The 13,360-nt window shown below is 38.2% G+C and overlaps 1 protein-coding gene across 14 annotated transcripts in view; it reads right to left on the bottom strand.

Annotated features, from left to right (window-relative positions):
- The window catches only part of KHDRBS3 (KH RNA binding domain containing, signal transduction associated 3), a 199,061-nt gene that overhangs the window by 70,611 nt on the left and 115,090 nt on the right, over window positions 1-13,360 (bottom strand). For all 14 annotated transcript variants that reach the window (XR_242372.3, XR_001745458.2, XR_928287.2 and 11 more), the window contains one exon: window positions 3,833-4,028. Coding sequence is in view for 8 of the 14 variants with exons in the window: in XM_047421269.1 (XP_047277225.1) it covers window positions 3,833-4,028 (196 nt within the window). In the remaining 6 variants the exon portion in view is untranslated. The remainder of the gene's footprint in view (window positions 1-3,832; window positions 4,029-13,360) is intronic.

Raw genomic sequence — 13,360 nt, 5'->3', positions numbered from 1 at the left:
ACTTAGAAAAAATCAATGGTAATCTTCATCTGAACAATGTTATCAAGTCTCTGTATAGGGTTGGTTCAGTCCAACGAACATTTACTAAGTGCTTACAATGTGCCAAAAACTGAGCTAGTAGCCAGAGATTAACCTAGAGATAAAGAATTTTTCCTTAGAAGTTAATAATCTTTTGAAAACTGGACATATTATGATTGTTCTACATAGCTATATACTAAATACTATGTTACATAAAAATTGCTATGTGAATAAAACTGAAAAATCACACAGAAGGCATCTGTGGTGGGTTCTCTGCAGGAGACAATTTTTAAAAACCATCTTGTGACCATTCATTCATTCATTCAGTAAATATTTACTAAAGACCTACTATGTGCCAGACATTATATACTAGTTATTGGGAATAAAAAGGTGAAGTGTGGTGGGTGGGAGGAAGGGGAGGCAGGGGGAGAGTGCCTACCCTCATGGAATTTAGAATCTAATTTAAGATGTTCTAGTTCCATGTAATAATTTTAGTATATTCAAAGATGGCCAACTTTCCCATTTGATGCATGAATGAATAACCATTTATTTGTGTTACAAGCTCCTTGGTTTTCTAAGTTGGGTATCTTATAATACACCCACCCTATCTAAAATCCAAGAAACAAAGAAACGATTTTTCTTTTTTTTTTTTTTTTTTTGAGACGGAGTCTCGCTCTGTCACCCAGGCTGGGGTGCAGTGGGGCGATCACAGCTCACTGCAACCTCCACCTGCCGGGTTCAAGCAATTCTCCCACCTCAGCCTCCTAAGTAGGTGGGTTTACAGGTGCGCACCACTACACCCGGCTAATTTTTGTATTTTTTTTTTTTGGTAGAGATGAGGTTTCACCATGTTGGCCAGGCTGGTCTTGAACTCCTGACCTCAAGTGATGTGCCCACCTTGGCCTCTGAAAATGCTAGGATTACAAGCGTGAGCATCGTGCCGAGCCCAACATAAAAAAATTTTTTAAGAAGAATTTACTTCCCATTCCCCCTACCATGCTGCAAAACTAAGCGTGATGGGTGAGTAATCTTTAGGTTTTCAAACAGTTGAGACCAATGGCCAAGGTCTGAAGTTATGCCAGAGGTTGCAAGCTGTATTAGAAAAGTTGGAAGTAGAAAACTGGGTCAGTGGAGGAAGATGAGGTCAAACGGGTATCTGCAAGGCAGTGCTACTGATGGCAAGCCACTGTAAGCAAGCTGAAGGGCTTTATCTACTCCTTATACCAAGTACCAGCAAAGTTTGTTATATACAGTGAAGCTTTTACTATACTGAAAAAGCCACTGAAGCTTTTACTATAACTGTGCCAAGGCAGCTCACAAAATGCTAAGCTAAATGAGGAAAATCTTTTCTCTTGACTAGTAATCTTAAAAGGCACTGCCAGGAATAATAGATGCTAAATTAAGTGGGAAAGCTATAACGTTTGTAATCTGAACCCTTCATGATGATAATTCAACTCGGGGAAGGAGGTGCACTCATGATGGTATTTCTTTTCCTTTGGTGTCCCACTATACCACCCAAAGCACACCTGGAAAGCACACAGCTGTTTTATGTATGCAAGACTTGTAATTGTATGAAGCTGATAAAATTGCAAATACTGCATTCCAGCCAAATTACAACACTGGCGGATATGACCGTCAGTTATTTGAAGGCAACGCTACCATGTGACAGAAAGAGCACTGGCTCTGTGTTGAAATCACAGCTGCAGTAACAGTCAGTGCCTGGAAGAGTGCCAGGCATGAGTGAGTGTGGGAATCAAACAATGAAGGTTGACTTTTTCCTTTAGAGCTCTTAAACCTTTGTCTGGTTCTGGAAAAACGCAGGTAATCTTCTACAGGGCCATTATCCCATTATCTTTGGTAGCAGATGGAAAAGGGAGTAAATTAATCCTACAGAATACTTCTCAATTCAATTGTTTTAATGCCTTTCCTATCATTTACAAAAATAAAAAATAAATAAAACAATCAAAAGTACAAGCAGCAAACCCAAATGTCTTGAATGTCTCTTGCTTTTGCTTTTCCTCCTTTGGACTTTAACCTTTCAAGAATTTTTCAGTTTTATTAATCTATATAATTTATTTCCAGACTCTAATAATTAGAGTATACATGCTGAGACAGACAACATGTGTGTCTGGCTCACACGGTAGAAATCCAATCTTTATTGAATGGAAAGATGAATACATGTAATGAAGGCAATAGTTCTTTCTGAAATAAGTGGATTATGAAGCCCAAAAAGTTAAATATCTTGCCCGATATTAAAATTTATGGTAAAATGGGGTATAGGATCCAGGTTTCCCACACAACCTGCCTGGCAATTTCTACTACATCATCCAACCACATCTGTATTAAATCTAAACCTAAGAAATCAATGTAAGCCAAAGTGGAAATGAACAGACACTGGGCCTACCTAAAAGGAATTTAAGATTTACTCTCCTTTAGAGTCCCTGATACTTTCAGGAGACTCAGCATTTATGGAAGAGCTGAGGCATAATTATTATTGTCATCTGGTAAGATTATTAGGAAGTAGGAACACATTTAACTGTAACGAATTCAAAGAGAGGAAACACATCCTTCCTCAGCTGAATAACAAACTTGTAAAACTATTACGGGATTTGTTAAAATATAATTCAGTGGGCTCCCAGTATGCACTCTCTCCCAAGTATAAAGAGATAAAAGCTATCCATTCCTGCCCTTCCAGAGGTTCACAAGCTAGGTGGGAGAGAGAAATGTAAGAACTGTAGTAATGCTCAACAGGTTAGCTATTACCACCTCTAAATTTCCCTAGCAATGATTGACCTACGTGTAGAAGGACACAAGGAGACAGTCAAATGAAACATAAGAACACCATTCTAGGCTGAGGAGGCAGTATAAGCAAAGGTCTGGAAGACTAAGATGACACAGAATGTTCAGGGAATTACAAAAACTTAAATATGTCCAAGACAAAGACTTTGATCTTACCAGTGGCCACACAGATGAGGTTGAAGAGGTTGTCTGAGGCCCAGGGGATTATTGCAACCTTCTAGAAACTATGCAAAGAGGCACAGAGCACCTAGCAAGAGATCTCTCCTAAAGTAAAACAATGAAAACCTACTGATACTTGCATTTTATCATTGTTACTGCTTCCCTTTCATTGACAATGGTTCACATACACTTACTTTAACAATTTCAATTATTAATATGAATCACCTATCCATTGCTTCTTATTTTCTTCATTTATGGTAAATGAGGACATCAAAGAATTCCCTTCCCCCTCAACTTTCACGGTTATTATTCTCTCTTACGTTAAGTCAGTCTATGAATTATATCAAAGAATCGCTGAATGATAAATGAAAAACTGATTTGCACTAATTGAAAATAGAGAACTTTTGTTTTCTTTACTGAAAAGAATTTCCACTAAGAATCCATACTCAGCAGAGTAGCTTAAAAGGAAACAGTTAAGGCGGAAACCATCTTGGTATACGCAGGCAATTATTTTTTAAATGACTGAAGTATTCAGGAGTGAAATATGCAAGAATGTTACATTAAATTCCTGTAAGGGCTTGAAAATATGTCTCCTGAACCTTAGTCTTACACCTCCCCACCACCCAAACTCCTCTTCCATACCTTAGATTTAAACTATTTGATGAAAAAGATCAGGCCATTTTTATACCTCTAGTATTAAGTACTTCTTTAGCACTCAATAAATATTTGCTGAAACAAAGTAGAATACTCAAGAACCAAAACAAGGTGAGGAAGCGTACGCGGGTACAATATCCAGTGCTAAGTCTGGATTAAGTCAATCTGATGAACAAGGCTGTTGTCTGACACCTTCACTTACATATTCTCCATAAGTCTCTTGTGTCGGGGGTGGCGGTGGAGGTCTGTACCCAGTTGGGGGGACTCCTCTTGCTCTGGGAGTGAGAAGTCCTCTTCCCCGACTCACTGGCCCTCGGGTGGACAGGACTCCTCTGGGAGTTGGCGTCCCTCGTGGTACTACAACTCCAACTGGCCGGGCTGTAACTCCTCCCCTTCCCCTGTAACCAAGAGAGTCAAATTAGCAGTATCTATCATAGTCTCTAACATTCTGTTATTCACATATATTTATACCTCAGAAACAAAATCAATGTTCTATATTTTTGTAAAAAGGAAGAAGGAAGTCACAAGCAAAGAACTAAAGCAAACATGAAACAGGTGTCTGTCAAAAGGAAATTAAGGCATTTAGGCAGTTCGTCTAGCAACAATATAGAAGTCTGGAGTTAATCTCTGGTCAATACACAGAGTAGGAAACTGTGATATTTGGAGAAGCCACATGCACCCAAGACTTCTATATAATGCCATGCCAGGATTACACCCAAACTTCACTCCCACACTATGAGGTGTGCCTTTTCTTGCTTATCTCAGGACAAGGAAACTGAGGCTCAGAGAGATTTTAAAACTGTCTCAGAACAGCTGTGAGCAAAGCCAGAGGCCAAAATATATGCCAAAATTCCACCAGAGAGACAATAAAATATACTTTCCTGAATAATGTGTCAACCACATGGTAATAAAACAACATTCTTAGGTTAAGTAAACACAGGCATTTTCTGAGGTAGAATTCAACATATTCATGTATTTCTAATGTAAATCATAAGACTTCAAGTCAGGAAGGAAGGAGATGGCTCTATCAAGAATGGCTCCACAGAAGCAAAAACCTGAGAAAACATAAGGACAGAAAAGTGTGGCTACCCCAGAGAATACAGACACAGCATGATGACCTCATCTGGATAAGGCCCTCCAGGAAGAACTGCAGCTGGCAGGCTGGCTGCCTACAGATCAGCTTCCTCCTTCTTCAGTGTGTCTGGGATAGCAAATACGCAGCTAAAGACTCATTTTCCAAAAATAGCAAATTATCAAAACCCAAAGCTGGACTTTGAAAAGACTGATGAAATTGATAAACCTCTAGACAGGCTAAAGAGAAAAAAAAAGCCCAAACACCAATATCAGAAATGAAGAGGGTTTTGGCCGGGTGTGACGGCTCAGGCCTGTAATCCCAGCACTTTGGGAGGCCAAGGCAGGTGGATCACCTGAGGCCAAGAGTTCAAGACCAGCCTGGTCAACATGGCAAAACTCCATCTCTACTAAAAATACAAAAATTAGCTGGGCACGGTGGTGTGTGCCTATAGTCCCAGCTACTTGGGAGGCTGAGCAACAACAATCACTTGAACCCAAGAGGCTGAGGTTGCAGTGAGCCAGGATCACACCACTGCACTCCAGCCTGGGTGACAGAGTGACTCTGTCTCAGAAAAATTAAAAAAAAAAAAAAAAAAGAGAGAGAGAGAGAGGAAGAGGATTTCATTATTTTTGACCTCAAGGACATTTAAGAATAATGAAGAAATACTATGAACAACTCCAAGCTCACACATTTTTTAACTTACATGAATGTGACTGATTCTGATTCATAATGACCAACACAAAGAGAATTAAATAATCTGAATGGGCTTATGTCTATTAAATAAATTTAATCAATAGTTAATGATCTTCCAAAAAAGAAAGCATCAACTCCATATGGTTTCAATGAATTTTGTCAAATATTAAAGAATGAAATGATACCAGTTCTCTATAATCTTGTCCAAAAAATAAAAGCAGAGGGAACACTTCCTAACCCAATCTGTGGGGCTGGTCATTGGAAGTGCCTCGTTCAAAGTATTTCTACATTACTCATCAGAGGCTGGGACCAGTCTGGGCCAGCCAGGGAGGCCAGAGGTGACTGTCCCCAGCCTATTCTTGAGCACTGGTTGGGACCTGACAAAGGAAGTATCTCTCAAAATACTAAATCACCCTCAGAGGCTACAACTGGCCAGAGATGGGGAGGAAAAGCATTAACAGGTGCCAGATTTGTGACCAGCCCAAATGCTCTGTGACCTCCTTAGAATGAGATGTGGTCTGAGGGGGAACAAGAACAAGGCCTCCTCATAACCAATGTGGATAAAGACAGTCTAAAGTGAAGAACTAGAAATCAGCATCTCTCATGAACACAGGTACAAAAATCCTCAAAACTATTAGCAAACTCCATTCCATAATGTGCTAAAAGAATTATACACCATAACCAAGTAGGATTTATTCCAGGTACATAAGGTTGATTTAATATTAGAAAATCAATGTAACCCACCACATCAACAAGGCCAAAGTAGGAAAATCATGTGATCATATAAATAGAGCAGAAAAAGCATGCGGCCAATGGCGACATTCATTCATAACAACTTTCAGTAAATTTCCTCAAGTTGAAAAAGAACATCGGGCAGGAATGGTGGCTCACACCTGTAATCCCAGAACTTTGTGAGGCCAACATGGGTGGATCACTTGAGATCAGGAGTTCGAAACCAGCATGGCCAACATGGTGAAACCCCGTCTCTACTGAAAAAAGACAAAAATTAGCCAGGCGTGGTGATACACGCCTGTAATGCCAGCTACTCAGGCTGAGGCATGAGAATTACTTGAACCTGGGAGGCAGAGGTTGCAGTGAGCCTAGATGGTGCCACCTAGATGCACTCCAGCCTGGGTGACAGAGCGAGACTCTGTCTCAAGAAAAGAAAGAACATGTACAGCAAACCTGCAACATATTGAATTGTGAGCAACTGAATGCTTTCCCCTTAAGATTGGGAACAAGGCAAGGATGTCTACTCTCACAACTACTATTCAACACTATGCTAGAAGTCCCACCTACTTCAATAGGACAAGAAAAGTAAATAAAACTCATACAGATTTTGAAGAAAAAAGTAAAACTTCCTTTGTTCACAGGTGACATCACTGGCAATGTAAAAAAATCCCCAAAAATAGTCCCCAAAACCCCTCAAACCCTACACATACTCCTATAGCTAATAAGCTAGTAAAACAAGGTAATAAAAGGTTACCAGTCAAATGCTTTCCTACATACCAGCAATAAATAATTGGAATTTTAAGAACAAAAAACATTTACTGAAGCCAAAAAAAAATTGCATGTTTTGGTACAAATTTAACAAAATATGTACAGTATTCCTATGTAGAAAACTACAAAACTCTGATGGAAGAACTCAAAGGAGTAACATCCACGTTCATGGTCATAACATTGTTAAGACTCCAGTTCTTCCCAACTAATCTACAGATTCAATGCAATCCTAATCAAAATCTCAGCAAGTGATATATTTTTAGACATTGACAAACATTTTCTAAAGTACACATGGAAAGGCAAAAGACCCAGAACAGACAACACAATACTGACAAGAAAAACAATGTTAGAAGACTCATAATATATAATTTCAAGACTTATTATAAAGCTACAATCAAGACAGCGCGGTATTTGCGAAAGAAAAGACAGATCAATGGAACAAAATACAGAGCCCAGAAACTGACCCTCAGAAATACAGTCAACTGATTACTGACAAAGGAGCAAAGACAATTCAATGGAAAATAATGTTTTTTTTCAACAAATGGTATAGGAACAAGTGAATATCAATAAGCTAAAAAAAAAAGTAGACACCTAGACACAGACATATTTCACAAAAATCAACTCAAAATGTATCTTAAAACCAAATATGAAACATAAAACTTAGAGAAGAAAGCACAGAAGAAAATCTGTATTATATTAGTTTGGTGATGAGTTTTTAGATACAATATCAAAAAAGTCCTTGAAAGAAAAATTGGTAAGTTCTACTTTGTTAAAATTATAGACTTCGGCTTTGTGTAGGACACTATTAAGAGATAAAGAGACAAGCCACAGAAAGGAAGAAAATATTTGGGAAACATGTTAGCTGATAAAGGATTTGTATCCAAAACACAGAAAAAACTTTTATAACTCAACAATAAGAAAGCAAATGACCCACTTAAAAAGCAGGCAAAATACTTGAACAGACAACTCACCAAAGAAGATCTACAGATGGCAAATAACCAAATAAAGATGTTCAACATCATTTGTCACTAGGGAATTCAAACTACAACAAAAGTGAGATACCACTTCTCACGTATTAAAATGACTAAAATAAATAACTGAATATACCAATTGTTGGTGAGGATATGAAAAACATAAACTCTCATTCCTGCCTGGAATGCAACATAGTATATACAGCCACTTAGACAGTTTGGCAATTTCTTGCAAAGCTAAACATAGCCTTATTATACAATCTAGCAGTTGTATTCTTAGGTTTTTACCCAATGGTTCTGAAAATGTATGCCTACATAAAAACTTTCACATAAATGTTTACAGCAGCTTTATTCATAGCAACCAAGATGCCCTTCGATAGATGAACAGATAAGCAAACTGGGTTACATGCATACAGTAGAAAATGATTCAGCAGTAGAAAGAAATGAGCTAACAATCCACAAAAACTAGGAATAAATCTTAAATGCACATTTCTAAGTGAAAGAAGCCACTCTGGAAAGGCTACATACTATATGCTTTCAACTGTATGACATACTGAAAATACTAAAACTAGAGAGATGATAAAAAAAAAATCAGTAGTTAACACAGTTTAAGGGGTGGAGAGAAGGTTGAATAACTATAGCTTAGGGTGATAAAACTATTCTGTATGATACCAAAATGACGGTGAATACATGACACAAAGCACTTGTCAAAACCCAAACAACCTCACAGCACAGAGAGTGAATTTTCATGTTTGCACACTAAAAACCACAATATTATTGAGGAAGTAGGAGACTCTCAGGATGCAATGCTGAATGTGAACAAACATTTTAACTAGGTTAAAGCATATGAAAACAATTTTATTGAAGGGATTGGAGAAAAGTAAACTTAGAAATGAGAGAAGTCTGTTAGACTAAAGGGAAAAAAAAAACCGTAAATAAGCACTGTTCTAGTTGATGAAGTTACTTTCTACAGGAAGAAGTGTAAGTACAGGTTAACCATTCTGATGTCACTGTACATGTATCCTGGAACTCAACAATTAAATAAAAGAATGGTGGGAGCCAGTTTCTCACGGTGGAGTGGAGTAATAAGCAAAGGGAAGAGGCTATAATGGTCAATGTGGGAACAGATTAAAATCAGAGACATCATTATGAACTCATGTTTAGCTTAATATATTTACAGATGGTTAAATATGCATAAATATGTGTATATACATAGGTTAGTACATACACATATATGTCCATTCTATGTCAGCTGAGAAAGCGCAGACTTCAGCACATCCCAGAAACAACAAGCGGGCCAGCAGCCTGACCTTGGTTTCTAATACCATACTCCAATAAATGGAACCTGAGCTTCTTGGAGAAATGACTGATTTTAGGACTGGAGGTAGAAATATCTAAGACTAGTCTGGAGCAATGTGTAGTGCCAGAAAGTAAGAAAGTGTTAAAAAAAAAACCCTCAAATTATGTTTGAATTAAACCCTCAAATTATGGGCATGTGTCAAAGCCAACTGAAAGAACTCCCAATGGCCAAAGCTGAGACAATCTGAGCAAGAAAAGACAGTGGTACTGAATTGTAACACAATGTATAAAATTAATATCCATGAGTCCACACTGACAGAAATGACTGAATCAATCAATCAATAGATAAATAGGGGAGAAGGCACAAATCTTCCAGATAATTTTTGTAGATATTCCACCTAGGGGAAGTGAACTGTAATTCCCCACTTCTTAATCAGGGGTTCCCCATAGTGACTTCCTTTTAAAGGATATAGTAAGAAAAGAAAGAAAAATGAGGAATTCGACAGTGGAGAAACTTGACAAGCATGACCTCAGCTACGTTATCAAGGTAACATGAGCATAAGTCATGTGGACAGTACGTATACTTGATATGATGTGGCAAACATGGCATTTTACCTCTGTGGTTTTGGTTCCCCAAACTCATAAGCCCAGGTTAATGATGAAAACAAATCTGACAAATCCCAATTGAGAAACATCTTAAAAAAAACCTGATTAGTACTCCTCAAAACTGTTAAGATCATCAAAACAAACAAGTCCAAGAAACTGTCACAGCCAAGAGCAGCCTAAGGAGACAGGACAACTCAACGTGATGTTGTATTCCAGGGATTCTGGAACAGAAAAAGGACACTAGGTAAAAACTAAGGAAACCTGAAATGGACTTTAGTTAATTCTGTGCCAGTATTGTCAATAATAGTTAACAATGTGTCAATATTGGTTCATAAACTGAAATAAGTGAGCCATGCTAATGTAAGATGTTAATAATAGAGAAAAACCACATGCAGGATATACGAAAACTCTCTGTACTATTTTCACAATCTTTCTGTAAAGCCACAACTGTTCTAAAATACTAAGTACATTAAAAAAAAAAATCTCAATTTTGCAGCTTTCTTGCAGCTATGGTGGCCTGTGATCCAATTCTGGCCAATAAGATATTAATTAGCACTGACTGAGATTTATGGGAAACTCTTTAAAATTACATAGTTGGCGTTCTCTTTTCCCTTTCACTCTTTTCTTCTTCCTGCATAGGATGCAGACATGTTTGTAAGGGCAGCAGGCTTGAGGGAAAAAGTGAAAGGCTAAGAAAAGCGTAGCCATAAGCTCTGTGGAGCTGGGGAAGGACAGTGTGGCATCGCTGTGCAGGTTTTAAGTGGGGAGCCACAGTGAGCCACGAGCTCTATGGAGCTGGGGAAGGACAGTGTGGCACCACTGTACAGGTTTTAAGTGGGGCAGGAGAAGGACGTAATATTTCTACTGGGTTAAGCCACTACAGGTGCATATTTGGTATTCGCAGTTGAACCTGATCCTAATATAATATGTCTAATGCAGTAAAAAGAAAAAAATAACACTTTTTCGTCAGCTCACCCTCAGGTAAACCTTTAATGACTATTGTAAATTAGGCTTTTTCTTTAAAATCCTAGACCATAACAATTGGTACAGTAAAAATAGTTGTCATGAGCAAAAACATTGGAATCAGATCAGGATTCAATTCCTCATGTACTTACTAGCTTAACATCTACCTGACAATTAGCACTCAAACTAATCAAGGGTCTGAACTGTCCAGGTCAGTTTCCTCAACTATGAAATGAGGCTAAACATAGAGCCCACTTTTGTGTTATTAGGAGAGAAACATGAGACAGTGCACATAAAGTGGTTAGAATTTTTACTGACTCAATAAAAATCAACAGTTTATTTAAACTTCAATCACTCTGAACGGTAATGGTGATATAATTTCTGTAGTGTCTTACCCATCTTTGTATATCTCCAGTATATATATCTAGAGAAATCTTTAACATGATTAAAGAGTAGTTTGTAGCTATAGTGCATCTAACTCCTTTGTGACATTTTCATTAGTTAGTGTATATTTAAACTAATTAATGCTTCCTGTTTTCCTTATCCAATATCCATGATTGCCATCCAAGGTACTTTATGAATTACAAAATATTCAATATGCTTCTTGAATATATAAATGTATGCCTTTCATCAAATTGAAAGACATACATTTATATATTCAAGAAGCCCACACTTCTCTTCCACGATCATTGACATTGTTGGTTATGCACCACTCGTGTATGAAATCACACTATGGCATTTTTATCTGCTATGCAATTTTAGACAAGTCATTTGATATATATCTAGTTGTTCTGGACGCTTATCTATAAAAGATATTTTGAAAATTAGTTTTTTAGGTGCTGAAATTCCACAGGAGTGGTATTAAGCAGCAATAGCATTAACAATGCTTTAGATGACACTGGTGGAAGAAAGGCATGATGGAGGTGACGTGCTAACATGATGGAGGTGACGTGCTAACATGATGGAGGTGACGTGCTAACATGATGGAGGTGACGTGCTAACATGATGGAGGTGACGTGCTAACACAAGAATCCTGTCTTATCGCAAAGTTTTCACTGAGTGCTACAAATAACATTCAGGGCAAGGCTGAACAGCTGGATTGATAACATGGGGATGAGAAGAGAAAAAGCATCTATTAGTGAGAACTTGATAATCAATGACACTTTTTTTAAAAACAGAAAAGCAGATCCAAATTGATAGGAATAGGGTACCACAAACTGAGTGTAACAGAAGAGCAAAAAGACAACACATCTGCATAGAGTTTTGAAAGCAGATTAATGGATGGTCTACAATGCAATAATTCTTTCTTTTTGGGTTTTTCAGCAGGGTGACACGGTTTCTGGTCTTGAAACTCAGATATGAAAAAAATCCAGGAAGGCTTTTGTAGTGAGCTGCCATGGGAAGAATGCTTTGAATGAACAAATACCAAAAAAACAAAAACAAAAACAAAAACAAAAAAACAGTCACTCAGAAATGAATTATTTAGTTTACAGACTAATACAAACTTTTAAGATGTAATGAAAAAGCATACACTTTGGGTTCCAACACATTAATACTCAAATGCAGTTCTGTCATTTGATCTTTAAGCCTCAGTTTTCCTATCTGTAAACTGGGGTTAATAAATCCTATGGCAGAATAGCTGCGATGTTTACACCCTGGGTATGTAAAGTGCATAGCCTAAAACAGGCATGTAGTAAGTGGTAATTAGTACACAGACTTCTGCTTCTACTCTGTCCTGATACTTTCCTTTTGGCTGTTTAGTGAAAGATAAGGGAAGGAGACAGAAAGTACAACTCATGTCAGTTCTCATTTTACACATTTAGCAACAGCAATGTGGTCTGATAAGAGTTTGTAAACACATACTAAATTTTTTGGCTTTTGTCTATAAATTTTATGAGAAGCAGCCACGTACAGCAGGTAGAACAATGAATTCAGTGGTAGATGCCCTGACTGCTTAAGCGAGCTCCAGCATTGCTAACTTGGTGACCTGGGAAAACACAGCTGACTCCAGTTCACTCAGATGCAGCAGGACCCATGCTGACTACAGAGTGGGGCCTGCAAGATCTAGTGACAGGGCCTTAGTCTTCTATCAGGGGTCACAGTGAGAAAAACCTTCCCAGAGATCCATTTGAGGTCTGTGTCCTGATACAATAAGCACCTGAGGGGTAACTGTATCTTTCCTATAACATTCCTAATACATTTGACAATCTTGCTTCATTTCTGTGAGAGAGCTTTTCTGAGAATAAACTTTAATCATTCTAAGAGTGTTTTCCTTGCCTAAGGTTGCTATGCAAATGAGAAGGCTGACAAAAGGAAAAGGCGAAACAGCCTACAGTTATAGTCTCTTACAACACAGGGAAGAAACTGTCAGAGCTGATGAAGACTAAAACTTTTGAAGAGATGATGTTGGCAGCTCTCACTCTGAGCAACTCTAGAGACCACCCGAAATGTGGTTCTAGGGCAGCGCATCTCATGCGTTCATGCGCATCCACATCGCCTGAGGACCTTGTTTTAGGCCAGAGTGGGGTTTACATTCTGCTTTTCTAACAGGCCCTCAAGCACTGCTGCTGGTCTGCAAACCATCTTTTGATGAGCTGAGTCTTAGATCCAGAGGTTGTAGCCC

This window comes from Homo sapiens, chromosome 8 (genome assembly GCF_000001405.40).
Source record: "Homo sapiens chromosome 8, GRCh38.p14 Primary Assembly".
Lineage (NCBI taxonomy): Eukaryota > Metazoa > Chordata > Mammalia > Primates > Hominidae > Homo > Homo sapiens.
The sequence above is the reverse complement of the archived record's forward strand: the minus strand, read 5'-3'. Positions and strand labels throughout refer to the sequence as shown.